Source organism: Homo sapiens, chromosome 2 (assembly GCF_000001405.40).
Source record: "Homo sapiens chromosome 2, GRCh38.p14 Primary Assembly".
Lineage (NCBI taxonomy): Eukaryota > Metazoa > Chordata > Mammalia > Primates > Hominidae > Homo > Homo sapiens.
This window is the reverse complement of record NC_000002.12, coordinates 127,145,728-127,173,579: the sequence shown is the minus strand read 5'-3', so window position 1 is coordinate 127,173,579 and position 27,852 is coordinate 127,145,728. Positions and strand designations below refer to the sequence as shown.

The 27,852-nt window shown below is 46.6% G+C and overlaps 1 pseudogene, besides 5 other annotated features; it reads right to left on the bottom strand.

The window, feature by feature from the left end:
* Positions 2,083–2,634: an enhancer, noted in NCBI's record as "H3K4me1 hESC enhancer chr2:127928522-127929073 (GRCh37/hg19 assembly coordinates)". NCBI's record gives its function as "activates a minimal SCP1, AML or CMV promoter by ChIP-STARR-seq in primed H9 embryonic stem cells {active_cell/tissue: H9 hESC(primed)}" and the evidence as "EXISTENCE:reporter gene assay evidence [ECO:0000049][PMID:30033119]".
* Positions 3,349–3,569, bottom strand: NIFKP9 (NIFK pseudogene 9; annotated as a pseudogene).
* Positions 7,250–7,843: an enhancer, noted in NCBI's record as "H3K4me1 hESC enhancer chr2:127923313-127923906 (GRCh37/hg19 assembly coordinates)". NCBI's record gives its function as "activates a minimal SCP1, AML or CMV promoter by ChIP-STARR-seq in primed H9 embryonic stem cells {active_cell/tissue: H9 hESC(primed)}" and the evidence as "EXISTENCE:reporter gene assay evidence [ECO:0000049][PMID:30033119]".
* Positions 7,844–8,437: an enhancer, noted in NCBI's record as "H3K4me1 hESC enhancer chr2:127922719-127923312 (GRCh37/hg19 assembly coordinates)". NCBI's record gives its function as "activates a minimal SCP1, AML or CMV promoter by ChIP-STARR-seq in naive and primed H9 embryonic stem cells {active_cell/tissue: H9 hESC(naive and primed)}" and the evidence as "EXISTENCE:reporter gene assay evidence [ECO:0000049][PMID:30033119]".
* Positions 15,291–15,791: an enhancer, noted in NCBI's record as "H3K4me1 hESC enhancer chr2:127915365-127915865 (GRCh37/hg19 assembly coordinates)". NCBI's record gives its function as "activates a minimal SCP1, AML or CMV promoter by ChIP-STARR-seq in naive H9 embryonic stem cells {active_cell/tissue: H9 hESC(naive)}" and the evidence as "EXISTENCE:reporter gene assay evidence [ECO:0000049][PMID:30033119]".
* Positions 15,792–16,292: an enhancer, noted in NCBI's record as "H3K4me1 hESC enhancer chr2:127914864-127915364 (GRCh37/hg19 assembly coordinates)". NCBI's record gives its function as "activates a minimal SCP1, AML or CMV promoter by ChIP-STARR-seq in naive H9 embryonic stem cells {active_cell/tissue: H9 hESC(naive)}" and the evidence as "EXISTENCE:reporter gene assay evidence [ECO:0000049][PMID:30033119]".

Here is a 27,852-nt window from a genome sequence, read left to right as displayed (position 1 = left end):
GAGTGAAACTCCGTCTCAAAAAAAAAAATATTTGGTCAATTCTTCTTGGTCTCTTTCTCACACTGTGTGCGTGTGTGCATGTGTGAGTCGTTGGAAAATCAGTGGCAGACAGCATGTCACTTCCCCCGAACACTCCAGCAGCATCTCCTAAACACAGGCACATTCTCTGATATAACCTCGGTGCTGTTCTTGGTGCTATTATTCTTTTAAGAAAAGAATGGAAGGGAAAATATACTTGGCTTAGGAACGTGACAAATCCCCAGTGAGGCCTGGTTGCCAAGAGTGAGAACATGAGGAAGCCAGCTGGGAGAGTCTCCTTCCCTTGCTTTGAGGGAAATCCGAGGCCTAGCTTGTATTCACGTCATGACTTGAGCTTTACTTTGCTGTGCTTTGCAGGTGATTCATATGGGCAGGCATGATTTCATCTGAATGTGGAGGACCGTCTCTCAGGAACTCTAATTCTTCCCAGTGGAACTGTGAGAAACTCAGTCATTTGTCTTTTGCTTTTTTTTCCTCTTTTTACTTCACTGTCAATTTTCGAACCAGTATAGACGTTGAGGAAGTCTCATTCTTCTCAGACTGGCAGTCACTGCATACTGTGTAGTTACATCTTGCTGGTCATCAAAAAAATGCAAATTCATACGGGTGAAGAGATAGCTTAGGACCACATTAGTAAGTGTCCACAAGTTAGTAAATGCATGTTTGGCGGATGGTGAGGCCTGGTCCTTTGAAAGGAATGGCAAGCTGCGTGGGCACCCTTCGTGTGCAGGAGTGCACGTTTAGGTCATACTAGTTTTCAAGAACAATTCCAAAGTGTGGCCTGGGACCCCCAACACTACATTGCAACCAGTGAGCTACAACTCTCCCATCATCCCTCCAAACAACAAAGAGTTGATGAAGCAGTGTATACTAAAGATGGAAAACTGCAATATGTTCCTTTTTTAAAGCTATTTTCCTTCTGAATAATTTTTTTTTCTTTGAGACAGAGTCTGGCTCTGTCGTCCAGGCTGGAGTGCAGTGGCGTGATCATGGTTCACTGCAGCCTCAACTTCCCGGGCTCAAGCCATCCTCTCACCTCAGACTCCCGAGTAGTTCGGACTCCAGGTGTGCGCCACCATGCCTGGCTCACTTTTTCTATTGTTTGTAGAGATGAGTCTCACTGTATTGCCCAGGCTAGCCTTGAACTCCTAGACTCAAGCTATCTTCCCCCTTTGGCCTCCCAAAGTGCTGGGATTACAGACATGAACCACTATGCTGGGCTGTAATTTTTTTTTTTAAGCAATTGGTTCTTCACTTTTACTTTTGTATACATATTTTTTTTGTTATGTCTTTCTACTGCTGGATACGCAGGTGTCTCTGAAAATGGAACATTCCAGCTTTTAAAAACTTCATCATATGCTTTTTCATATGGCAGAAACCGACCTGTATTTTGAAAAGATAAAAAGTTTTGAGGCTGGGCACAGTGGCTCACGCCTGTAATCCCAGCACTTTGGGAGGCCGAGGCGGGTGGATCACCTGAGGTCAGGAGTTCAAGGCCAGCCTCACCAATATGGAGAAACCCCATCTCTACTAAAAATACAAAAATTAGCCAGGCATGGTGGCTCATGCATGTAATCCCAGCTACTCGGGAGGCTGAGGCAGGAGAATTGCTTGAACCCAAGAGGCGGAGGTTGCAGTGAGCTGAGGTAGTGCCATTGCACTCTAGCCTGGGCAACAAGAGCGAAACTCCATTTCCAAAAAAAAAAAAAAAAAAAAAAAAAAAGGTTTCAACCAAATGGTAGGGGAGGGATTTTAACGTTCACTTTAGAATCTCCTGGTGCCATTTCCCACAGCATAATCAAGATGCCACAGTTGATCTCATGTCAGAGTGATAGTGTAGCAGGACGAGCTGCAGACAAAACCCCTCAGACACCGAATTAAAGAAGGAAGGGCTTTATTCGGCCGGGAGCATAGGCAAGACTCACGTCTCAAAAACTGAGCTCCCCAAGTGAGCAATTCCTGTCCCTCTTAAGGGCTTACAACTCTAAGGGGGTCCACGTGAGAGGGTCGTGATTGATTGAACAAGCAGGGGGTACGTGACTGAGGGCTGCATACACAGGTAAGAATGGAACAGAACAGGACAGGGATTTTCACAGTGCCTTTCCATACAACGTCTGTAATCTATAGATAACATAACTGATTAGGTCAGGGGTCGATCTTTAACTACCAGGCCCAGGGTGTGGCGCAGGGCTGTCTGCCTGTGGATTTCATTTCTGCCTTTTAGTTTTTACTTCTTCTTTCTTTGGAGGCAGAAATTGGGCATAAGACAATATGAGGGGTGGTCTCCTCCCTTATTCGATGAGCCAGTTCTGCCCTAGTGGAGTTCGTCAGTGCTGTTAGACAGGAGCAACAATCCCCAACTCTACATTCAGAGCCCTTTCAGCTATTTTTCTCAAGTCCAACACAGCACAGCACCGACCTGGTACGTGCGGTCGACAATTTTCAGGGCACCTACCCAGCTCATTTCCTCTTGGCAAGAGCCATGCTTTTAATGTGAGAATGAACCCATGACCTCAGCTAGGCAGTCAGCTTCTCTCACAGCTATGGGAAGTGGACAGAGAGATGCCACCTGGGCAGCCTCGCCAGCTGTTTGGGCAGATGCCTGTGAACTTGGGTACCTAAGATGGCCACAGGCCGCCATGGGCACAGGGAGGCCAGAAACTTCGCTTTGCCTCCCAAGGGCAGCAGGATCTGGACAGGGATGCTGTCTGCACCTTATGGACTGCAGGGTAGGGGGCTGCACTGGCTCCTTTCTGCAGGATGAACTACTCATCTGGTGCTGTCACTCCTCCACTCCCCCTGGCTTATCTCACGTGGAAGAGCTGCAGCCATTGCCATTTAGATGGATTTTGCAATGCGATTCCTGACCTTTGATTCTATCCCCAGTGCCCTCAGGATAAATTCTGAACTCGCTGACTTAGAAGGCCTTCAGTAACCTGACCTGAAGCCTCTTCCTGCTCCCTCATCTCTTGGTACTTTTCCTCACATTACCTCACAGCCAAATGGTTAGGCACCTCTGGTTAGGCATTCACTGTCCCTCAGCCAGGAATGGTCTGTCTTCACTCCTGTCCCCTTCACCTGGCTCACTCCTGTTTAGTCTCCAGGTTTTAATGTCAATGCTACTTCCTCAGAGAAGCCTTTCACAGCCCATAAGGATGGGTTAGCTGCTCCTCCCATGGGACCCCAAGGTAACTTGTCCAGCTCCATTTAGGGTAAAAACAGCTCTCAGGCTGGGAGATTTTAAAATTCCAATTAGAATCTGCCTGCAGCATACACTGAAATCCTTGCACCATTCTGTAAGAGTCATCCCAGAGATGAAGTGGCATGTCCAAGCAGCTAGGCAAGCCGCCCTTCCCACCACAGTCACCCACCAGCAGCAGGCACCCAGGCAACCCCGCAGTAAGACAGGAGCACTTACACTCCAAGAGTCTCTCACCACAAAGGCGGTTGTTCATTGTTTCAGCAACTATGCTGCAAACACCCTCAGACTCAAACTCCACAAATGCATAGCCTATGTGAGTTGCAGTCCGCAACAGAAAATCCACAAGAAATAGACCAATCATCAGACTCCTAAATGCCGTTCATTTAAATTGTGTACATTTTTAAGCAGGTAGTATCATTAGCCTAATTATCAAATGACACTATGTCATCTTGTAATTCCAGTTCCAAAATCATATAGCTCAGAGCCTGCTATGGGAAAAGAAAATATCTTAATTTGAACATGCAGCTGAAGTTCACATATTCCTGGAATTTTGGTTAAATGTAATCAATACGTGATGACTATGGCTGGGATTGATTCAACAGCAACACCCCATTGTGGAGAGGAAATATGATAGTGCCCGGTTCTTTACCCCTTATCCACTTATTTGATTTCACTGACAGCTGTATTATTCATAATACTCCGGAGATAGTATAATGCTCTGTGAAGGACGAAGATAATATTCTCATATTGTTTATATGTGAGAGTTGAGATGAAACAAAAACAAATCCTCAGTATCTCCCGGCAAATCCATGAAACACTGCTCATTCTCATGCTCCAGCATGACCGGACACCTTCCCAGCGGGAGGCACGGGGACTGGGCCAGCACTCTTTGAAATGCACATCTCGAATTCGCCACTCGGCACCCTAGCACGAAGTGGGTTCTGTCACCTATCTTTGTAACAAGTATGTGGGTTTTGGAGTTCAAAGGCTCAGGTTTGGATTCTCGACTCTGATAAGTAAGGGTAAGTAACACTTAAGCATCATGAGCCTCAGTTTTCCATTCTGTAAAATGGGGATGCTAACCACTCTCAGGGTTGCTGTGAAGATATGAGATTGTGCACAAGAGCTCAACACAATGTGTGTCATGGACTCCATAAATGTTACCAGTGATTGGTGGTAATAACCAGAAAGGTTTTCTTTTTTTTTTTTCTTTTTTTTTGAGACTGATTCTCTCTCTGTCGCCCAGGCTGGAGCGCAGTGGCGCGATCTTGGCTCACTGCAAGCTCTGCCTCCCAGGTTCACGCCATTCTCCTGCCTCAACCTCCCCAGTAGCTGGGACTACAGGCGCCCGCCACCACACTTGGCTAATTTTTCATATTTTTAGTAGAGATGGGGTTTCACTGTGTTAGCCAGGATGGTCTCCATCTCCTGACCTCGTGATCTGCCCGCCTCGGCCTCCCAAAGTGCTGGGATTACAGGCATGAGCCACCGTGCCTGGCCCAGAAAGGTTTTCTAACCTTGCATTAGACAACATAGCTTTGGCTATGGATCAAAATTGGTGATGTGACTGGAGATAAGGAACCACCTGAAAGCCGCGTGGCTTAACAGGGTGGGAGTCAGGAGGCTCACTGCTAGCGCCAGCTGTGTCACTCATCAGCAGGTTGGCCACGCCCACCACTGGGTCTCAGGTTGGTTGTCCACAACAGAAGCATTCTAGTAAAAATTATTTTTTAATTATTTATTTATTTATTTGTTTTGAGACGGCATCTTGCTCTGTTGCCCAGGCTGGAGTGCAGTGGCCCGGTCTCGGCTCACTGCAGCCTCCACCTCCCGGGTTCAAGCAATTCTCCTGCCTCAGCCTCCCGAGTAGCTGTGATTACAGACACCCGCCACCATGCCTGGCTAATTTTTTGTATTGCTAGTAGAAATGGGGTTTCACCATGTTGGCCAGGCTGGTCTTGAACTCCTGACTTTGTGATCCACCTGCCTCAGCCTCCCACAGTGTTGGGATTACAGGCGTGACCCACCATGCCTAGCCACTCATTCTGGTAAAAATTAAACTGCCTGTAGCTGGGTGTGGTGGTGAGTGACTGGGGTCCTAGCTACTGAGGAGGCTGAGGTGGGAGGATTGCTGAATCCAGGAGTTTGAGACTGCAGTGAGCTAGGATCGCACCATTGCACTGCAGCCTGGGCAACAGAGGGAGACCCTGTCTTTTAAAGACATATTAGGCCAGGTGCAGTGGCTCATGCCTGTAATCCCAGCACTTTGGGAGGCCGAGGTGGGTGGATCATGAGGTCAGGAGTTCAAGACCAGCCTGGCCAATATGGTGAAACCCCGTCTCTACTAAAAATACAAAAATTAGCCGGGCTTGGTGGCACACACCTGTAGTCCGAGCTACTCGGTAGACTGAGGTAGGAGAATCGCTTGAACCCGGGAAGCGGAGGTTGCAGTGAACCAAGATTGTGCCATTGCATTCCAGCCTGGTGACAAAGCGAGACTCTGTCAAAAAAAAAAAAAAAATCAATGTCATGAAAAACAAAAAGCAAACACTGTTGTAGATTAAATAAGTAGCTTTCTACCTCCCACCCTGCCTGTAAAACCAAAGGGTGAAAGCATTTTGAGGATATCAGATTAAGCTCTATGTATTGACATAGTCTCCTAATTAACCTTCCTGTCCACTTACGTCTCCTAGAGTAGCTCCCTTGAACCTCAGTTAGTGTGACATGTCACTCTTGCTCAAAACTATGTTATATAATGGCCCATTAGACATCAGCCACATAACTGAGTCCTTCCTTTTTCCTCCACCTTATCTGTAGGAGAAAACACCTGTAAGACATTTTTTTTGGGGGGGGAAACTAGAACATTTTAAAGATGGGTGGTATACCATATACTGTGGAATTACTGTTATTTTTCTAGGTGTGATAGCAGTATTATGATTAGGTTGGAAAACACCCTTATTTTTAGGAGATGCACCCTGAAATATTTAAGGGCAAAGCACTATGGTGACACACTCAAATGGTTCAGAAAACAATGTGTCTGTCCATGGGCCGAGGTGAAGCTCATGTGTCTGGATGTTAACAGTGGGTGATGCCAGGTGACAGGTGCGTGGACGTTCATCACGCTGTCACTTCACCTTCTCTGTAGACTTGAACATTTTCAAAACCCAAAGTTGGGAAAAACAATGATGACTAGATAGCAGCATGAATTTTTTTTGCAAAATAATGTTGCGCAGAAGGTAGAGGAGATAGAATAATTTTTAGGATGAACAGGCAATTTGTAGTGGCTGCTAAACGTAAAGTAGTCAGCCTCACTAAGAATAAGGCAGATACGAAAACCCCGACCATTCTACACACAGAGTGACTGGCTAAGTGAATACTGCACAACCCGCCAATCCCATTTCTGACTGTATATTGTAAAGCAGTGGTTTTGAAATTCAGGATTTGTCCTGAGGGAGGAGAGGGGTGGGGCAAGGATGGGGCAGGGCCTCATGGTCCCGATTTCTCATTCCTTCTTTCACTGTCTCTCGAGGCAGTCCACGGGGGTCTGGGTCTTGCCCAGGGTCCCCAGAAAAGCTGCTTCTGCCTGATACAGCCTCTCCAGGACCAGTACCTTGAGAGCCTCTTGCTGTCAGTGGCCCCTCCATGGCCCAGAGTCCATGGCTATAACCCTCAGGCAGCCAGGACCCTTCTGTCCACAGACTGCAGAGAACATGGGAACATTCCGCTTGGAACCAAGCCAGACCTCATCGAGGTGGGAGGGGAACGAGCGCGTGAAAGGTGCTTCCCAACCTTACTCTCAATCCGACACCACAGACTCTGATAATAAATAAATCCCTCCTCCTGCACCCCCAGGGACACAGGCAGGCTGCTGCAGGCTGAGATGATGGCCTAGCGCTCTGGCCACCGGGGCCCTGGCCAGTTGCCATGAGAAATAAGGGAATCAATGCATTTTCACAGCCCCAGTCCATTGAAGGGTCAAAGGTTAGGAAGCTCCTCTGAGGAGAATTGGTAGGCTGTCAACACTGGTGATGGTCTTTCTTCTCTGGCCTCAGCTCTCCTTCTGTGGCCCTGGAGGCCTCCTCCTGCCCACAAAGGCCGCAGGACACTCCTGATTCAGCCCCTCCATGGTGTGCATGGGAAGGGTGTGAGACCATCCTGGAGGGCTCCACTAGGGGTTTCAACTTCTTGAATTTCACCTCCAAAAACTAGGGAAGAAGTAAATGGGATTTCCAGCTTTCACATTTGAAGATCGTGCCATCCCACAATGAGCATGGAAATCAGGATTTTCAAATTCCTCCTGCATGGAGTGAAGTGTGTGATGACACGGAAGTCCTTCAGGATAATGCTGTCCAGAGAGATGCTCTTAGGGCTATAAGATGCTGTATGGGGCGTGCTACGAGGGCCACCAGAGCTCCTCTGCAATGTGGGGGCTGGTCATTGTGCCGTGGGGTCCCAGGCCTCATCCACTCACTGAGCAGCTCAGTCTTGTTGGCAGCAAGTCTGTAGGTTGCCTGGGGCTTGGCTGATTTTGCCTGGTTGGCTTCAGCTGGTGGCTCTGTTGATTTTAGCTGGATTCCCTGTGGTGTCAGCTGAATGTCAGCTGGGCTTTGTGGCAGCTCTTATAGGGCAGCTCTGCTGGTCTCTGCCTGGCTTGCTCATGCATCTTGGGGTCAGGTGAGGGTCAGCCGATCCCGAGGTGGCTGGGTTGTGCTGGGTGGCTCTGCTGGTCTTCACTGGGCTTGCTGGTGCAGCTCAGGGTCAGTTGGAGTTTGGCTGGTCTAGGCTGGGTGCAGCTGGTGCTCAGTTCGCTGCACCTGTCTTCTCCTCTTCCTGGAATAGCAGGAAAGCCCAGTCACGGCTTCCTGTGGCCACAGAAGAGGCACAAAGGAGCCACCTGAGAACAATTTACCAAGCTGCATTTTCAAAAGCTCCCCCAGACTGCTGCAAAGAGACTCAGCTGGAGGGGTAGGGGTGGGCCAGGCGGGCTCTGTTAGTGAGTTATAATGGTTTCAAGGAGAAATGGTGATGGCTTTGACCAGGGTCTTGACTGTGGACTAGGCTTCTGAGGACAGGCCTGTGTCTGACCTACCCTTCAAATGGTATCTGGTGTGAAATTACAAAAGATACAGCCCCTGGGGCATTTTCTGGGCTGTGGAGCTGAGTGTGGGCTGCCCTGGCCTCCTGGGCGGGAGCCGTGTGCAGGACAGTGGGCACAGGCAGGAGCCCTGCCTCGGCTCAGCACCAGGCCAGTGACCCCGAGCCCAGCACTCAGGAGCCGTCTGAAGGCTGGGGCAAAACCCACACAGGCTCCCAGTGCAGGAGACACTCTGCTGCCCAGGATGTCCAGAAAAGGGCTTAAGGAGGGGGACTCTCAGGGCCAGTGGTGGCTGGGGTGGCGTGAGGGTGGTGTTAGCGGCGGTACTTCCCAGACCCAGACCCCCATGGGCTGCCATGTGAGATTTGCAAGAAGGAACTAGTAATTGGGGCCAGGAGGCCCTGTCCCATCCCTGCCCCACTCCTCTCCTCCCTCAGGTCAAATCCTGAATTTCAAAACCACTGCCTTACAGTATAGAGTCAGAAATGAGATTGCCAGGTTGTGCAGCATTCACTTACCCAGTCACTTTGTGTATAGAATGGTCAGTGTTTTTGAACCTGCCTTATTCTTAGTGAGGCTGAGTATCTTATGTTTAGCAGTCACTACAAATTGCTTTTTCACATCCTAAAAATTCTTCTACCTCCTCTACCTTCTGTGCAATATTATCTTGCAAAAAATTTTTATACTGCTATCTAGTCATCATTGTTTTTCCCAACTTTGGGTTTTGAAAATGTTCAAGTCTACAGAGAAGGTGAAGTGACAGTGTGATGAATGTCCACGCACCTGTCACCTGGCGTCACCCACTGTTAACATCCAGATACATGAGCTTCACCTCCTCCCATATCTACACACACAGACACAGACACTGTTTTCTGAGCCATTTGAGTGTGTCACCATAGTGCTTTGCCCTTAAATACTTCAGGATGCAGCTCCTAAAAATAAAGATGTTTTCCAACCTATTCACAACACTGCTATCACACCTAGAAAAATAACAGCAATTCCATAATATATAATCTCAAAGAACCAGAGTAAGAGGTTAGCGGTCAACACAGCGAGGCTGAGCACTGCTCCTGCTTGAGAGGAGCTGGAGTGGGGCTCTGGAGAGGAAGTTTGGAGCAAGATTGTTGTGTTGACACAGCGTCAAACTCTGTAAAACATTTGGAGATTTATTTTGAGCCAAATGTGAGTGACCATGGCCTGTGACACAGTCCTGGGAGGTCCTGAGAATATGTGCCTGAGAGGGTTGGACTACAGCTTGGTTTTATACATTTTAGGGAGACATGAGACATTGATCCACACTTGTGAGATGCACATCCCTTCAGTCTAGAAAGGTGGGACAACTTGAAGGAGGACTTTCAGGTCATAGGTAGATTCAAAGATTTTCGGATGGGTTGAAAGAGTTTATCTAAAGCCCTGAGATCAACAGAAGGGAGTATCTGGGTTAAGATATGGGGTTGTGGAGACCAAGGTTCTCCAGGTAGCAGGCTCCAGAGAGAATAGATTGTAAACATTTCTTATCAGACTTAAAGAGACAGCTTTGCAGGGCCATTTCAAAATATGTCAAAGCAACTTATTCTGGGGTAAAATATTTGATTGCTTTCAGGACCTGCTATCTCTCATGTTGGTGTCTTATTGCTACAGAGAGTCTGTTTTGTCAGTGTTAAAGCCTCTGTTTAATGCTGGCCAGCTGTGCCTGAACTCCAAAGGGTAGAGGGTATAGTGAGGTGTGCCTGACCACCCATGCCCATCACACCCTGAACTAGTGTTTCAGGTCTACTTTATTTATTTGTTTAGTTTTTGAGCCAGAGCCTTGCTCTGTCGCCCAAGCTAGAGTGCAGTGGTGCGATCTCGGCTCACTGCAACCTCTCCTTCCTGGGTTCAAGTGATTCTTGTGTCTCAGCCTCTGGAGTAGCTGGGATTACAGGCATGCACCACCACGCCTGGCTAATTTTTTTTTATTTTTATTTTTAGTAGAGACGGGGTTTCGCCATGTTGGCCAGGCTGGTCTTGAACTCCTAACCTCAGGTGATTCACCCGCCTCAGCCTCCCAAAGTGCTGGGGTTACAGATGTGAGCCACTGCATCCAGCCTCAGGTTTACTTTAGAATGCTCTTGGCCAAAACGGGGATCCATTCTGTTGGTTGAGGGGCTTATAACTTTATTTTTGGTTTATAGTCCTTGTGGAGAAGATGAGGGAGAGAGGCAGGCGTGAGTCTGGGCTGAGGATCTCTGTTCCAGACCCTGGGCTCAAGCTGGGCTTGCACAAGGGCTAGGGAAGCATGCCTCCATGCAGCCCTTGTGGACCCCAGCTTCAGTGGAAGCTTCTGGAGCCTTGCCCTGGCCAAGAGGGCTGTCTGCTACAACAGTAGGGGTCTTGTTGGAGGACAGGTGGGCCCTTGGGAGGTCAGGGTCCCTCTCTAGGTTGCTGCCTGCAGGTTCAATGACTTCTGAAGCTGAGTTTCTGGCAGCTTCCTTGAACCTGTCCAGGTCAGTCCTCTCGATTGCAGGCCATGGCCCTCCATGAGGCCGAGCCTGGCTTCAGACCTCTTGAAATTTGAAGGCAGCTTGGGCTGAGCCTGGCCCTCCACCCTGGGGAGGGGACACATACCCTCAAACTGTTATAGAAATAAAGAATACCTAGGCACATGCGGTCAAGCAACCAGGTACCACAAAATGGCCAGGGATGTGTTCAAAGTCACTGGACACTGATCTTTGGCAAAGATGCTACATCCCAGAGGTGGGAGGGGGCCTTGATGGCATCTTGTCCAACCTCCTATCCATGGCCGGAGGGGCACTGGCTGCCCAGCTCCATGGATCCCTGGGCTCTCAGTGCTCCGGGGGCAACTGGCCCCACCTGCTTTATCCCACAGCCATCCAGATGCCCTCACCGTCCTTTGCTGGTCTCCTCTCCAGGGTGAGGGAAAGGGGCTGCCTTTGAAATCTCATGGGAGAAGGGCAGATGCTGTGGGTGCTGAGGGTGAGGTGGGACTGGAGCCTCTCTGTTAGGGCACAGGCCTGCGTTTCTTGGTGTGCTCTTTTTCAGCAAAGTCACCTGTGCTCTGGAGGTAGGGTTTTTTTCTCGGGTCCTTTTTCTAAGAACCAGCCTGGGGCTGCAGAGCAGCTAGGTGTGTTTCCTTCCTTTGCAGCCAAGCCCTAACTTCTTTGGCAACACGCTGGCATTCACTTTTGCCCTTCCCTTACGACCAGCAAGATCAGCAGGGAATTCCGTAACAAGCTTTCCTGCATCCATGTCTTGCTGGGCCCAGCCATGAGGGAATCTCAGGGGCAGATGGTCGACTCACCGCTCATGCCTGGGAACAGCTGAGCTCCCTGTACGTGCACCAGGTGAAGCTGCTGAGTAATCCCAGTGCCAGAAAGAGACCTAAGGGTGCTGGGAGCTCATTACACTGCTAAAAAGTATAAAAAACCCTAAAGAGCTTTAGCTTACAGGGGTTATATGTCTAGATAGTCAGCATGTTAAAAATTAAAATAGAGCATTTAAAAACATTAATTTGTTTCATTGAGTGCTTTTACTCTCTGGCCTTTGGTACCCTGAGCTGCGTCCAAGCTTGTCCTGTGCTGTGCCCATCACAGCTTCTCTCCTCTAAGAAGTCTCTGGCGTTAAGCCTTGCACTCTGCCCCTTCTGTGCACGTGTCCATGCAGTGAAAGACTTTCTCCTCCAGTGGAGCTTGTCTCAGCGAGAAAAAGCTATAAAGAGTTTACTTAAGCATGTCTCACTAGGGTAAAAATGACTGCTTGCCCCACAGCTTCCAGGAAAAAACCTGTTTGAAAGCAGAGGTAGATAATACAAAGAATTCTCTCCCTCTTTGGTTTTTCTAGCAACATGACAGTAACATGAACATTCCACCCACTTCTGCGGGGGTAAACGTGGAGTCCTTAGACTCCAATTTCCCAGCCTCTCTCTGCTCTTCAGAGTTGTTGCTACTCTTCCACCTTAAAACAATTCCCCCAAGTCCTCAGACTCAGTGGGATCTTCCCCAGTGAGGAGCCCCAAATAAGGGCAGACTTGAGGACTGTCTGTCTTCAGAGTCCCAAATGTAACATTACCATTTGCTCTCTGTGGGTCTGTGTCCCTGTGTAAGTCAGGTACTGCAAAGAAATAGACCAATAGGATAGACAGATAGATAAGCTCATACCTACCTATTTATATAAGTATCTCTGTCTATCTATCTATCATCTATAGAGAGATTGATTATGAAAATTGGCTCATGAAATCGTGGCGGATGAGAAGTCCCATGATCTACCATCTGAAATTTGGAGACCCAGGAAAGCTGGTGGTGTAGTTCTGTCCAAGTTCAAAGGCCTGAGAACCAGGGAACTGAGGGCATAAACCCAGTCTGAGGACAGGAGAGGAGGAGACGTCCCAGCTCAAGCAGTGAGGCAGAAAAAAAGGGGTGATTTTCTCCTTCCTCTGCCTTTTGTTCTGTTCAGGCCCTCAAGGACTTGGATGAAGCCCAGCCCCATTGGGGAGGGCTTTCTACTTTACCAAGTTCACCAATTTCAATGCTAATCTCATCCAGAAACACCCTGGCAGACACACCTGGAAACAATGGTTAATCTGAGTATCCTGTGGCCCAGTCAAGTTGACACCTAAAATTCACCATCACTGCGCTATCCTGGGCCTTGAGCCCCCACCATGTCTAGTGATGTTTGGATGTGTAACACTTGGCATCATGGTTGGCACAAGGTTGGCACCCAACACGCAGCTATGGAATGAATGAATGAATGTGCCCACAGTGCTTCAAGACATTTGCAAGGGCACGGTTTGGGGTCTAACTCCTAGCACAACAGATTCAGTTTTGCATGAAAGCTGCTGGTCCCAAACGTTTGGTCTTAGGAACCCATTCCAGCCTTCAGAATGACTGAAGACTCCAAGGAAGTTTTCTTTTAGTGGGTTACATATATCAGTACCTTTCCTGTTTGAAACTGAGATAGTTTTACATATATATTTACTAATTCATGTAAATAATAAAGTCATGGGATGTAAACATAATTAACATTTTTATAAATAATAACTATAGGTTTCAAAAATAAATTTAGTGAGCCAACTGACATTGTTTTACATTTCTTTAAGTCTCTTTAATATCTGGCTTCAAGCGGGCATGGTGGCCCACGCCTGTAGTCCCAGCACTTTGGGAGGCTGAGGCGAGTGGATCACCTGATGTCAGGAGTTTGAGACCAGCCTGGCCAACAAGGTGAAACCCCATCTCTACTAAAAATACAAAAATTAACTGGGCATGGTGGTGGGTGCCTGTAATCCCAGCTACTCGGGAGGCTGAGGCAGGAGATTCGCTTGAACCCAGGAGGTGGAGGTTGCAGTGAGCTGAGATTGTGCTATTACACTCCAGCCTGGGCAACAGCCTGAGACTCTGTTTCAAAAAAAAAAAAAAAATCTGGCTTCATGGAGGACAGCTGGAGTCTCATCTCTGCCCCCACACTCAACATGTTGTGATATATTGTTTTGACTGAGCATATGAAGAGAGTTGTAGCTGGGACAGAGATGTGCATTTTCTTTCCCAGGCTTTTCATGTAGTTGTAGACGTGTGTCTTTGTTCTGGCACCAAAACATGACAAGCAGTAGTTTCTTAAAGACTAATTTCAGTGTGGAATCTGAAACAGTTTATCTTCTGTTCTTAAACCACTGGTCTAATCTGCACTTTGTGCAGATCTTTTACCTATACTTGATTTTGTAATGTCATACACCTATCACTGGGAAGACACTGGTTCACTGAATTGTGGAGTTTTTCCCACGGTCGACGCCCTCTATCCTACAACATCACAAAATCCAACTGCATAACGTTGCTGCCCGTCTTGCTGGAAAAGTCTTCAATGATTCAGGAGCTGTCAAGCTCGGGATGGTGGATACAAGTTTTGCAAAGTTCTAATTTTTGCTTGAATGCCCACATTTTATCATTGGCAGCAAAGACTGTCACTGTTTCCTTTGAAATGAGAGGCTTACTTTGTTCATTTTCAAAGAAATATGTCAGATACCCCAGTCTGAATAACCATCGCTTGTTTGTCAGTCATTCTTTCAGGTAGAATGGCATTTTAGTCTTTCAAGTAAAAAGAGTGTTTCATGAAAGAAGAAGTGTCCACATCACTCGACGCTTCAGCAGTTCTACAGGGGCTTTCCCCCAAACAACTGTCATACTCAGTGTGCAATGGAAGCTCTGAACGCCAACTTCCCATTTTCTCACTCAGGATATAAAGAAGGCCATAATCGAAGGGATGAGACCTATAACAATTAATACTTTATACTGCTTCCTCAAGGACAATCGTATGAGTAATTGACACTTAAAGAAAAATGTGAGTGTGCATGGTGAAGAATCACACCACAGCCGGGTGCCGCTGCCTTGGGTGGTGTGAAGGCATCTCAAAGCCAGTGACAGGTGCATTCTTTCAGCCTCTTCCTCCCATGGCCCCTAAGTCCCCATGGATTGAGCACCCAGCGGAAGTTCACTACCTACCTGCTGGCTGAAGGGTTGGCATCTCTGTGATGCAAATTTAGGCAATAGGGTCCGGATGGAGGTGCTTGTATTTGGGAAGTTAATGTTAAGAGCTCTTGGGGCCAGGTGCGGTGGCTCATGCCTATAATCCCAGCACTTTGGGAGGCCGAGGCAGGAGGATCACTTGATCTCAGGAGTTGGAGACCAGCCTGGCCAACACGGTGAAACCCCATCTCTACCAAAAATACAAAAAATTAGCTGGGCATGGTTGTGTGCGCCTGTAATCCTGGCTACTCGGGAGGCTGAGGCATGAGAATTGACTGAACTGGGGAGGTGGAGGTTGCAGTGAGAGAAGACTGTGCCATTGCACTCCAGCCTGGGTGACAGAGCAAGACTCTGTCTCAAAAAAAAAAAAAAGAAAAAAAGAGCTTGGGGCTGCGTGCTGGAGGTTGATTGCATTGGGGCAGTGGCCAGGCATTGGTATTTTAAAAATGTTTAAAATATTTTAAAATCTTGCTGCGAGGGAACTGTCTAGCATGAACTTAGCTGTCAGGCCAAGAGTAGAAAGGAGTCCTGAGTACAGGGCAGAAGTCCACAGACATCTCTTTCCCCTTCCGTGGTTTCTGCTTAAAACAATCGAGATGGGCAATCTTGACCTTGCACCGCAGACCCGGGCTATACTGCCTTCCCACAGAATGGAGTGGGAAGGGCTAGTCCCCCCTGGAAGGGACTAGGGGCTGGCACCTCTGGATGCTGTTGGAAGTGGGGGAGGGGAACAAGCTTCTGAACTGGGAAGGAACTGGGCCACTGGGGCACGTGCCCTTGCTCTGCTGCAGAGTTTTGGAGTCACGCTGGGCAAGGTTAAGAGGCCCAGGTCCCTGTTAATGCAGCCCCCTGGCCCTCCACTGGGGGTCTCCTTGCTCCTCTCACTCTGAGAAAGGCCGTCTTTGGCGTTGCAGGTCACTGCTGTGACTCAGAATGGGGCAAACGGATTCCAGCTGTTGTGCCCCTGGCTAATCTCACTGCCCTCCAGCCCCGGGCACTCTCTCTCTAGGGACAGTGCTAGAGGCTGGGGCCCGCAGGCCGTGGCCATCCATCTGTGAGCCTCTCTCCTGGCGTGTTTCTATGGCTGTGAATAGGTGGAAGGGCTGAGGAGGACAAAGCTGTCCTGGCTTCTGGTGGTACTTTTGATTTTGGAATTTGCAAGTATCCTCTGCCCTCCAGGGAGCACCCGTGGGCTGCTTGACTAAACCATCTCCCCAGGTGCTTCTAATGCATGGCTAAGCAGAGATCCTGGGTTTTTTTGGTCGATATTTATTTATCTATTTATTTGAGATAGGGTCTCACTCTGTCATTCAGGCTGGAGTGCAGTTGTGTGATCAGGGCTTACTGCAGTCTCGACCTCCCTGGGCTCACGTGACCCTCCCACCTCAGCCTCCTGAACAGCTGGGACCACAGGCACATGCCGCCATGCCCTGCTAATTTTTGTATTTTTTGTAGAGATGGGGTTTTACCATCTCTACAGGCTGGTTTCGAACTCCTGGGCTCAAGTGATCCTCCTGCCTCAGCCTCCCAACGTCCTGGGATTATAGGCATGGGCCACTGTGCCTGGCCAGTTTATTTATTCTTTAATATTGACTATTCAGTGGGAAAACCAGAGATGATGTTTTGAGAGCCAGGTGGAAGGCAGAGCCATATGCTGGTTGGAAATTTTTTGTTTTAAAGCAGTATTTCATTGTAGCCTGCATATAAAGATTATCAAGCCAGAAATGTATTTGAAATCTGAAAAGTACTTTCATTGATTATGTTCATTTTTCTGTGATCAATTCCAAAAAGGCATTTAAAATCTTGAAGACCAAGTTCCTAACAGCACTAGGGGTCTGTAAGAAAAAAAGCATTATTTTATAATGCTGTGGGGTATACACAATATTTTTGTGTTTCTGCCAAATCTCTGAACAAAATCCGCTTAAACTTGGAATCCTGGGCATTTTCATTCAGGCTGCCATAACACAGTACCATAGACTGGGTGGATTAAACAACAGGATTCCATTTCTCGCAGTTCTGGAGGCTGGGAAGTCCAAAATCAAGATGCTGGCAGCTTCAGGTGAGGGCTCTCCTGCTGGCTTGCAGACAGCTGCCTTCTCACTGTGTTTTTGCATGGTGAAGAGAAGGAGCAAGCAGGTTCTTTGGTGTCTCTTCTTATAAGGCCATTAATCCCATCATGAGGATTAATCCCACCCTCACGACCTTATCTAATCCCAATCACTTCCCACAGTCCTTGTCTCCTAGTACCATCACACTGGGGTTTAGGGCTTCAACATATGGATCTGGGGAGGACACAGATGTACAGTCCAGAACACTGGGTTATGATCAAGCCTTAAAAGTTAATTTACAATTATAAAGATAGTGAAGAACTCTAGAGAGGTTTACCTCACTCTGGAGTTATGTGTTTGCATATCAAGGGGAAAACTAGCTCTAGGTTATTTGGTCCCTAGAGAAATGTCTTTACATTCCAAAGAGCAGAGTGAGAATTCAGGATTCTAGCCATGCACTCTCCAAAAAGCAAGCATGTCTTCCCTTCTTTCAGGAGAGAGGGCCCCCAGTGTCTCTCCTGGGTGTAACTGGCCACAGCCCGTTGCTCTCAGTCCTCCCCTAAGGAGTGTCCAGTTGCTCGTGGAGAGTTTCCATTTGGCTCTCACTGCCTCTCCCACAAGCATGGACTGGAGCAAGGAGGGGCCCTAGGCTTATGATTTACTGTAAGGTCAATGGGGAGGAGTCTGTCTCAGATCCAGAGGACTTCATGTGCACATTCAGAATAAAATTAAGAAATATTAAAACCCAAAAACGTTAAGTAAAAACAAAACAGAAAAATGTTATGTATACAGAATGACTGACTACAACTATGGCAAAAACAAACAACAACAACAACAACAACAACAACAACAAACCCTCAATAGAGGAAAAAGTAAACAAGAAACAGATCAAATTATTAACACAATGACATTTGAATGGTGACAAAATTGGTGATTTTAGTTTTTCTTTCCTTTTAAAATGTTTTTAAAGCACATATATTAATTTGGCAATGGAAGAAATTAGAAAGAAAATAACTTTTGCATGAAGATCACAGCTGAGGATATCCTGTTAGTTATCTATTGTGGCATAACAAATTAACCCAAGACTCTGCAGCTTAAACCAAGACAGCTTTTTTATTGCACAGTTTCTATGGTCAGACGTTCACATGGTTGATCTCCCACTGAGGGCCTCCAGGGTCCCACCCCCTTAGCAGCACATTACAAATTGAACTGGTAGAATAACTTCATATGGAACTCATCAAATATATTTGAGTGTCTTGTTGCTCTTTCCATTTTTTTTTCTATGTTGGGGTTTCAGATAAGATTTCTACAGTTTTTCATGCAGAATGTTCAATCCCTGTCTTCTCAAGGCCTCTAAACCCTAACCCGTGAGTGTTGGAGGTATTCGGTGCAGTGCTTGGTCTTCCTGGCAGTGTTTCTCATTTGGAATCAATCACAGTAGTGACTGGACAAGGGGTTACAGAATTTCTTGGCATGGGGTGGGAGAACTGTTGCTTTACTTCCTATTAAAAGAACTGGAGTGAGGCTGGGTGCGATGGCTCATGCCTGTAATCCCAGCATTTTGGGAGGCCGGGTTGGGCAGATCACAAGGTCAGGAGATTGAGACCACCCTGGCCGACATCTGGAAATCCCGTCTCTACTAAAATACAAAAAAATCAGCTAGTCATGGTGGCGTGTGCTTGTAGTCCCAGCTACTCAGGAGGCTGAGGCAGGGGAGTTGCTCGAACCCTGGAGGTGGAGGTTTCAGTGAGCTGAGATTACGCCACTGCACTCCAGCCTGGCAACAGAATGAGACTTCATCTCAAAAAAAAAAAAAAAAAAAAGAGAGAAAAGCTGTTATTTGGGAATATGAAAATTAAACATGCAGAGGCATGTGCCCTTTACCTGGGACCTTGCTGACAGCTGTGTTCTCTAGACCTCTCTCTTTAGGAACGTCTCTCGTCCCACCTCCACCCACAGGAGAAACCACTGGAAGCTCCTCCAGGTTCCTAGTGAAGCCCCCAGGACTCAGCTCCTTGGCCTCACTGCCCACCTGCCATCAGCTTCTTTGGCCTCTGGAGAACCTCACGATCAGCCTGCAGAGCTGCACCCAGGCCTGCCCTATGCCGGGGTTCCCACTGAGACCCCAGGGTCACTCACTTAGCAGGACAGTGATCATCAAGTGGGTTAGGGTTTCCAGGATGCTTCAAGGCAAGGCTCTGAGATCTGAGCTGTGGAGGAGGATGTAAGGAATCAGTACAAACAGGGGCTGGCCACACAGCACTGGGGAACTATGAAAAAGCTTCTGGAATCCAGAGGCCCCACGTGTGCACTTGGTGGGTGTTACAGAAACTTACGGTGAGCCCACCATCTCCAAAAACTTGAAACTCCACTCTTGCTTAAACTCAGGATCACACATCCTATGCCAGCGGGCTCTTGGTCCTTAGACTGTTCATAAGAAAAATAGGAAATGGCCAGGGGCCTGAGGAAGGAATGCAGCCATACCTGACCCTGGCTGCCTGAAGAGAGCTGGGTTGGTTTGGAGAGTACTGGGGCGGGGAGTAGGGTGCAGGGATGGGCGGGGGAGCCAGTCAGTAAAGTGTGCAGGAACCCAGGGTGGCCCATGGGCCTGAGGACTACACAGGCCCTGTCCTAGAGGCCATCTGGAGGGGGCTGGTCGGCTGGCTCCATTTCCAATTAACACCCCCTGCACCCCCCTGGATCCTCAGAGCCTCTGCTGGGATAGATGATCTCACCAGCTCTGTGATTGTGGCAGAAACACCAGGCCAGCCAAGCTTGAGTCATGCGACCTCCTCTGGCTACCAGGGCATGAGGAGGAAGAGTGCCTGGTTTCCTCCAGCCACATAGTAGTAGGCAAAGCCTGGCTCTCACCAAGTAAAGCAAGACTCCCACCAGATAGACAGGAAGGGCGCTCCCTTGACTGGGTGGTCTCTAAATATCAAATGTCCATTACAGTGGCCAAGAAACTGCGGTATCTTAATCACAAATAATCATCACCCATGCATTTGAACTAACTGGCAAAAGAACTCTCTCTCTCTCTCTCTCTCTCTGTGTGTGTGTGTGTTCAACAACAGCATCAAGGCTGAACATAAAAGATCACCTCTTGCTGACTTTATAATCTTTTTTTTTTTTTGAGATGGCGTTTTGCCCTTGTCGCCCAGGCTGGAGTGCAATGGTGTGATCTCGGCTCACTGCAATCTCCGCCTCCTGGGTTCAAGAGATTCTGCAGCCTCAGCCTCCCATGTAGCTGGGATTACAGGCGCCTGCCACCACGTCTGACTAACTTTTGTATTTTTAGTAGAGACAGGGTTTCACCATGTTGGCCAAGCTAGTCTCAAACTCCTGACCTCAGGTGATCCACCCGCCTCAGCCTCCCAAAATGTTGGGATGTGTTTTTTTTTGAGATGTGGTTTTGCTCGTTGCCCAGGCTGGAGTGCAATGGCATGATCTCAGCTCACTGCAACCTTCGCCTCCTAGGTTCAAGTGATCCTCCTGCTTCAGCCTCCCACTTAGCTGGGATTACAAGCATGTGTCACCATGCCAAGCTAATTTTGTATTTTCAATAGAGACAAGATGGGGTTTCACCATGTTGGTCAGGAAACTGCTGACCTCAGGTGATCCACCTGCCTCGGCCTCCCAAAGTGCTGGGATTACAGGTGTGAGCCACCGTGCCCAGTCGACTTTAATCTTATACAGACATTTATATGTATTTATATGTGCCCTGGTGGGACTGTGGCATGCCATTGACAGTCACTGTTCAGATTACTCTTTTTAGCAACTGCTATTTGAGTTCAGAGAAAAAAACTGTAAAAATCTGTGAAGGAAACGTCCATGGAAACAGCCACTCTCTAGTCTACTTTCTATTCATTTGGAAAGCAATGTCTCTCTTAGCATCTGAGGCTTCTAACCCATATTTTCAAGATGGCGATTCCCATCAGGAAATCTCTTACAGCCTATGGCAGAAAATACGCGGTTTGGGAATGACTGAGGTTTACATCAGAGCTGAGAAATGAGTATTGAACTCAGTCTAGTGAAGTTATCTGGGCATTTTCCCCAGGTGTTATTGGCATGTCCTGCTCCATGTTGGGACATTTAGATAAATAAGAAGTTGGGCCACTCATTTTGGTTCCACATTTACACCCACCTGATTTCCTCAGTTCTGTGCCAGCCACAGTTGACAGAAATGAAGGATACTTACTTATTCCTGCACCCGGGAGGTACAGGATGTGGAGAAGACAACACATAATTAGAAAGTTATAATGAGCTGAACTACTTGGGAGTATGCTGGGAGTGTGAAGCCCCAGAATAGACTTAGCGTATCTTTCTAGAGAGTTGATTTCATTGCATGCTAAATAATGTAAACCGAATTAGGTTATGTGAATGTGCTCGGATATACTGTGGAGTAGAATGCAAAATACAAAGTGGATGTTGGTGAAAGTGGCAGAGTTAGGGCTGGGCACAGTGGTTCATGCCTGTAATCTCAGCATTTTGAGAGGCCGAGCCAGAAGAATCACTTCATCCCACAAGAGTTAGAGACCAGCCTGGGCAACATAGTGAGACCCTGTCTCTGGTAGGGGTTACCCCATCTCTGGTAAAAAAAAAAAAAAAAAAAAAAGTTGCCAGGGATAGTGGTATGTACCTGTAGTTTCAGGTACTCAGGGGGCTGAGGCGGGAGGATTGCTTGCATTTGGGAGGTCAAGGCTTCAGTGAGCCATAATTGCACCACTACACCCCAGCCTGACAAGACTGAGACTCTGTCTATTTAAAAAAAAAAGGAAGTGGCAGAGTTAGGACCTCTGAAAAGTCTCTCCATAAAAGCAATGAGAAAATTGACAAAAATTATCAGAGCCAATTTTTTTTTGAACTTTGGAAATTAAATTGCAACAATCCAAGTAGTGTTAATATTTAAGAAAAGTGGCAGAATCCTGGTAAGAAAAAAAGCTTTGTGACATTTTAATTTATCCTAGTCCCATCCCCATGGTAACCTTGAAAAATTAAAGCGTACACTAACAGTGAAAATTAGCATGGTGGCAGCCACCTAAGGGAACAGAATTGGCCTGGAGCTCGTTAAAGGCCCATTACCAGAGAGCTGTCATTATTTGACCTGTCTGGTGATTCTCTGGAAGATCCCCCTTTGTAAGGTTGTCTGTATTTGACCTGACTCTGAACTTACACAGTGTGAAAAGCTCTTTTCCAGGGCCATTTATCAGAAACAATTACAGCCAAATTGATTAACTTCATGGATGCCTGAGGGAGTAGAAAACAGCTGGGGCAAATAACAGACCAACCAAAAAGCTTAAAATGAAAAGTTGGGGAATAGGATATCTACAGGGGGCATTGAAAAGCTCTGAAATATTCCTGGGAATCAAGAAGGTCATGTTCTTGTGTAAGGCTGTGAGCATGCCCAGGATTGACCTGAAAAAAACCTGAGAAGGTCCTAAGCTCTCATCTCTGGCTCCCCTGAGACTCTGTGCAATCAGGAAGTGAAGGCTAAGGCAGAGTTGTAAACTGCCTGGCTGAGGGTTGCAGGCACGCCTAATGTACACAAAGAGCCCCCCAGCAAAGACTGGGAGACTTATTTGTTTCAGATGTTTTTAGGAAGTCTCTGTTCAATCATTAACTGATCACTAGGCTAAATGAGCAGAGACTTCATTGCTACATACAACAAAGAATACAGACTATGCAGAATTAGTTAAAAAAAATACACTAAATAGGCTGGGTGCAGTGGCTCATATCTATAATCCCAGCACTTTGGGAGGTTGAGGTGGGCAGATCACCTGTTGTTAGGAGTACAAGATCAGCCTTGCTAACATGGTGAAACCCTGTCTCTACTAAAAATACAAAAATTAGCCAGGTGTGGTGGCACATACCTGTAATCCTGGCTACTCGGGAGGCTGAGGCACAAGAATTGCTTGAACCTGGAGTTTTCAGTGAGCTGAGGTCATGCCACTGCACTCCAGCCTGGGCAGGAGTGAGACATCATTTCAAAAAAGAAACAAACGAACAAAAACCCCCAAAACACTAAACAAACAAAATGAAAACAACTACAAAAAACAACAAAAACCATAAACCTTGGAGAGATAATTTGATTTTCAGAGCTGCCATAATATATTATTTAAAATGTCTAGTTTTCAACAAAAAATAAGAGCATGGAAAGAAATAAGAAAGTATGGGCCATTCATGGGAAAAAAACAATCAATAGAAACTGTTCCTGAGAAAGCCCAGATGTTGGACTTACTAGACAAAGACTTTAAATCAGCTACTTTAAATATGTTCAAAGGATTATATATACAAAAATATGCATTTTATACATATTTGGTTATATATTATATATAATTATATTTTTTATACATATATATATTATTTACATATATATTATATATACTTGGTTCTATAGATATAAAACCAAATAGAAGTTATGGAGTCAAAAAGTACAATAACTAAGAAGAAAATTCCATCAGAAGGCCTCAACAGCAGATTTGAGCAGACAGAAAAAAAATCAATGCACTTGAATATATGTCAGTTGAGATTATCTAGTCTGAAACATAGAAAGAAAAAAGAATGAAGAAAAATAAACAGAGCCCCTGCCAGGTGCGGTGGCTCACTCCTATAATCCCAGCACTTTGGGAGGTTGAGGTGGGCGTATCACCTGAGGTCGGGAGTTCGAGACCGGCCTGACCAACATGGAGAAACCCTGTCTCTACTAAAAATACAAAAATTAGCCAGGTGTGGTGGCGCACGCCTGTAATCCCAGCTATTTGGGAGACTGAGGCAGGAGAATTGCTTGAACCCAGGAGGCAGAGGTTGTGGTGAGCCAAAATCAGGCCATTGCACTCCAGCCTGGGCAACAAGAGCGAAACTCCATCTCAAAAAAAAAAAAAAAAAAAAAAAAGAAAAGAAAAAGAAAAAGAAACAGAGCCCCAGAGACCGAGACCTATGGGCACCAATAAACACACCAATGTATGCGCAGTGGGATAGAGGGAAAAGGGCAGGAAAAATATATGAAGAAATATTGGGTGAAAAATTCCAACATTTGATGAATAATTGTCTATACATCCCAAATGCGCAACCAACTTTAGAAAAAATTCAGAGTGAACCACAGCTAAACAAATCATGATCAAGTTGTTAAAAAACAAAGGGAAAAATCTTGAAAATGGTGAGAGAGAAATGACTCATCATGTGCAAGGGATTCTCATAACATTAAAAGCTGATTTCTCATAAGAAACCATGGAAACCAGGAAGCAATGGGATGATATATGCAAAATGGTAAAACGAAAAAAAAAACCTGTTAAACAAGAACTATATATTCAGCAAAACTATTCCTTAAAAATGAGAGGAGATGAAGACATTCCCAGATAAACACAGGGAATTCATCACTGGGAGAGCTGCCCTGCAAAAGATATTAATGGGAGTCTCTCAGGCTAAAATAAAAGAAACACTAGACAGTAACTTGAATCTATATGAAGAAATAAGGAGCATTGGTAAAAGTAACTACATAGGTAAATATAAAAGACAGTATAAGTGTATATTGCTAGTAATTCTTTTTTCCCCATCTCATCTGAAAGACAATTGCATAAAGCAATAATTAGAAATCTATGTAGAAATACTTTTAAATAATACAAAGTATATTTTCTCCCCCAAACAAAATAAAATTAAAATCAATAACAAATGAATTTGAGAAATGCAGAAATATGTAGAAATTAACCATATATGCTCAAATAAGCAATAAGAAATAAGTGCAATCTATAGAGACATTGATTATTTAATCAATGGCTCAAAGAAGTAATTACAAGATAAATTAGAAATACCTTGAGATAAATGAAATAAAGATACAGTATACCAAAACTTATGGGAAACAGATAAAGCAGTGCTTAGGAAGAAATTTATAGCTGTAAGCACCTATGTTAAAAAACATGAAAGATCTCAAATCAACAACCTAATCTTCCATCATAAGACACTGGAAAAAGAAGAGCAAACCAAACAAAAAGCAAGGAGAAGGAAGAAAGAAATTATAACAAAAATCATAAATACATAATGTTTTCAAGGTTCATCCATGTTGTTGTATGAATCAGTGCATTTTTATGGCTAAATAATATTCCTTGTATGAATATACCACATTTTGTTTATCCATTCATCAGTTGATGGATATTGGGTTGTTATCAACTCTTGACTAATATAAATAATGGTACTATGAACATTCATGTAAAGGTTTTTGTCTGGGCATGCTTTCATTTCTCTTGGGGGCATGCCTAAGCGTGAAATTGCTGGGTAAAATAACTAATTTCTCGAGAAACTGCCAGACTCTTCTAAAGCGGCTGCACCATTTTATGTTTCCACCGACAGTGTAAGAGGGCTTCAATTTCTCCAAATCCTCATCAACACTTGTTATTATCTGCTTTTTAAAGTCTAGCTATCAGGACGGGTGTGGTGGCTCACGCCTGTAATCCCAGCACTTTGAGAAGCTGAGGCAGGCGGATCACCAGAGGTTGGGAGTTTGAGACCAGCCTGAACAACATGGAGAAACCCTGTCTCTACTAAAAATACAAAATTAGCCGGGCGTGGTGGTGCATGCCTGTAATCCCAGCTACTCGGGAGGCTGAGGCAGGAAAATTGCTTAAATCCGGGAGGCGGAGGTTGCAGTGAGCTGAGATCACGCCATTGCACTCCAGCCTGGGCAACAAGAGCAAAATTCCATCTAAAAAAAAAAAAGAAAGAAAAAAAAAATCTACCTATCCTATGTGGTTCAATTTATATGAAATATCCAGAATAGTGCCATCTATAGAGATACAAAACAGATCTGGAGCTACAGGGGATGGAGCGATTGGGAGGGGTATTGGGGATGGAGCAATTGGAGGTGGTTTCTTTTTGGAGTAATGAAAATGTTATAAAATTGATTGTGGTGGTGGTTGCACAATTGTGTGAATACACTAAAAGCCATTGAATTGTACACTTTAAATGGATGAATTGTATGGTATGAGAATGATGTCTTAAGCTGTTAAACAATACATGTGAATATCTTTAGGAGAAAACTTGAAACTCCAGGAAACTCTGACCCTGTGGATGGCCCTGTCAATCTGCATGTCCCATGCTGGGACAGAGGTGAGTCCAGAAGTCTAGGCAAAGTTATCAAGATGAGGGTAAACTTTCTACTGCTATGCAGCCCTTGGGGGCCGGGGTCCCCCGAGCTGTCAGGATGCCTCAGCCCAGACCCTTGGAATTAAAGAGGCCTGTTGGCTGGACGCACTTCCAACTCCGGCACTCTCAGAAGAGGCTTCCTGGAGCCCCTCGGCTTTAATCCCCGGCTGCAGTGTGAGCCGGGCTCACTTGCTAAGCTCAGGAACTAAGCAGGCTGAGGGGCCAGCTCATCTTTCCCCCAGGACGTGCAGCCACAGGGATCCTGGGCCCTCCCTGCATGACATGCTGCTAAGAATAGCGAGAGGACAGTATGTGTGTCTCTGAAGATCTTTCTGCGAGTCAGGAAGTATTTACAGCCTTTCCTGGAATAGAGCTCCTCCATCTGCAGTACTGCTTGGGAGTGCCTTGTGGTCTCTCCCTTCAAAATCCAGCCTTAAATTCCCCTCCTCCAGGAAGCATACCTTGACTTAACCAAACCTCCCTGGTTGAATTTTTTGAATGACTAAACCTGAATTAGGCTGATGAACTGGTCAGCACCCTTTGAGAAGCAGGTTTGTTGGGCTGTGAGGAAGGGCTCTGGCCCCAGCATTTCCTCTCCAGTCTACCCATCCTCTTTTTGGACAACCTGATGTACACGTAAGTATTAGTTACAAATCTTTGGTTGCAAGTGACAGAAACCCAAGCCAAACCTGGGTAGTAGCCAGGGTGATGGAACCAGGAACTCACTGCTACCAGCACACCATCTCCCCTGTGGCCTGGATGTTGCCTTCTCTTCCATGGCACACTGGGCTTTTCCATACAGCCAAGGAGATGGCTGTAGAAGCTGGTTTGCCTCCTCTTGTATTGGACGCCTAATGGGCTTCCTCCTGGCTCCCGAGTTGAAAAATCCCTGGGAAGGGCTCTAATTGGCCCTACCTGAGTCAGGTGCTCTCCTCTGAACCAATTGCTGAGCTCAGGAGGCGGGTCAGACTACCTGGTGGAGGGGAGGCGCAAACCCTCGCAAGAGGGATGCCTGGTAGAGGAGTGCGAGTGGGGCTGGGTGCACCGGCGACGGTATTGGTGCCTGGTACTTCCCTGATTCTGTGCCGTGGGAGCTGTTCGGGATGTTAAACTCCTGGGAGATCAGGCTGAGGACGACAGTCACTACTTGTGCCTGCGCAGCATCCTCTTTGCCATAACAACGACCCCAGTTTCCTCTGGAGACCACCCTGTTGGCAGCCATGTGTTCATGGGGCCTAGGAGTGGAACACGTGGCCGGGACCATCAGCCAGCACAGTCCCTTTCCTGTGACCACAGCCCCGGCTCTCAGCAGACTGCCAGCACCTTGAGGGCAGGGTCTGCATGCCACTCAGCTCTGGGTGCGGCACAATGGTGGCTCCCAGACCTGGCCTACCTGACAAACCCCCAGGGGCCCCTGCCCAGGGCTGGTCCCAGGCATTTATATTTTTAATAAGCTCTGTAGGGAATATGAATAATTAGTTTTGGGAATGGTTGCTGCATGGTGTTTGTATACAGTAAGTGCTTTATAGTTGCTGGTGTAATGGGAAAGACTGGAGTCAGCTTCCCAGGAGTGATCATCCTGGCTGTCTTTGAGTTGCCCATGGACACAGAGCTGCCAGGACCCTCTTTGCATGTTTTGAGGTGGTCCTGTCACTCTGGGTGGGCAGACCCTGGCCCTCCTTGTTGGTGAGATGGCACTTGCTGACAGGATCAAGACCTTCCAATTCCAGGAGCTGGAAGAACCCCAGAGGGTTGGGACACTTGAGAAGACAGCCAGCTTGAAATGGGCTCACCCAATTAGTTCCAATCGGGCCACCTCAG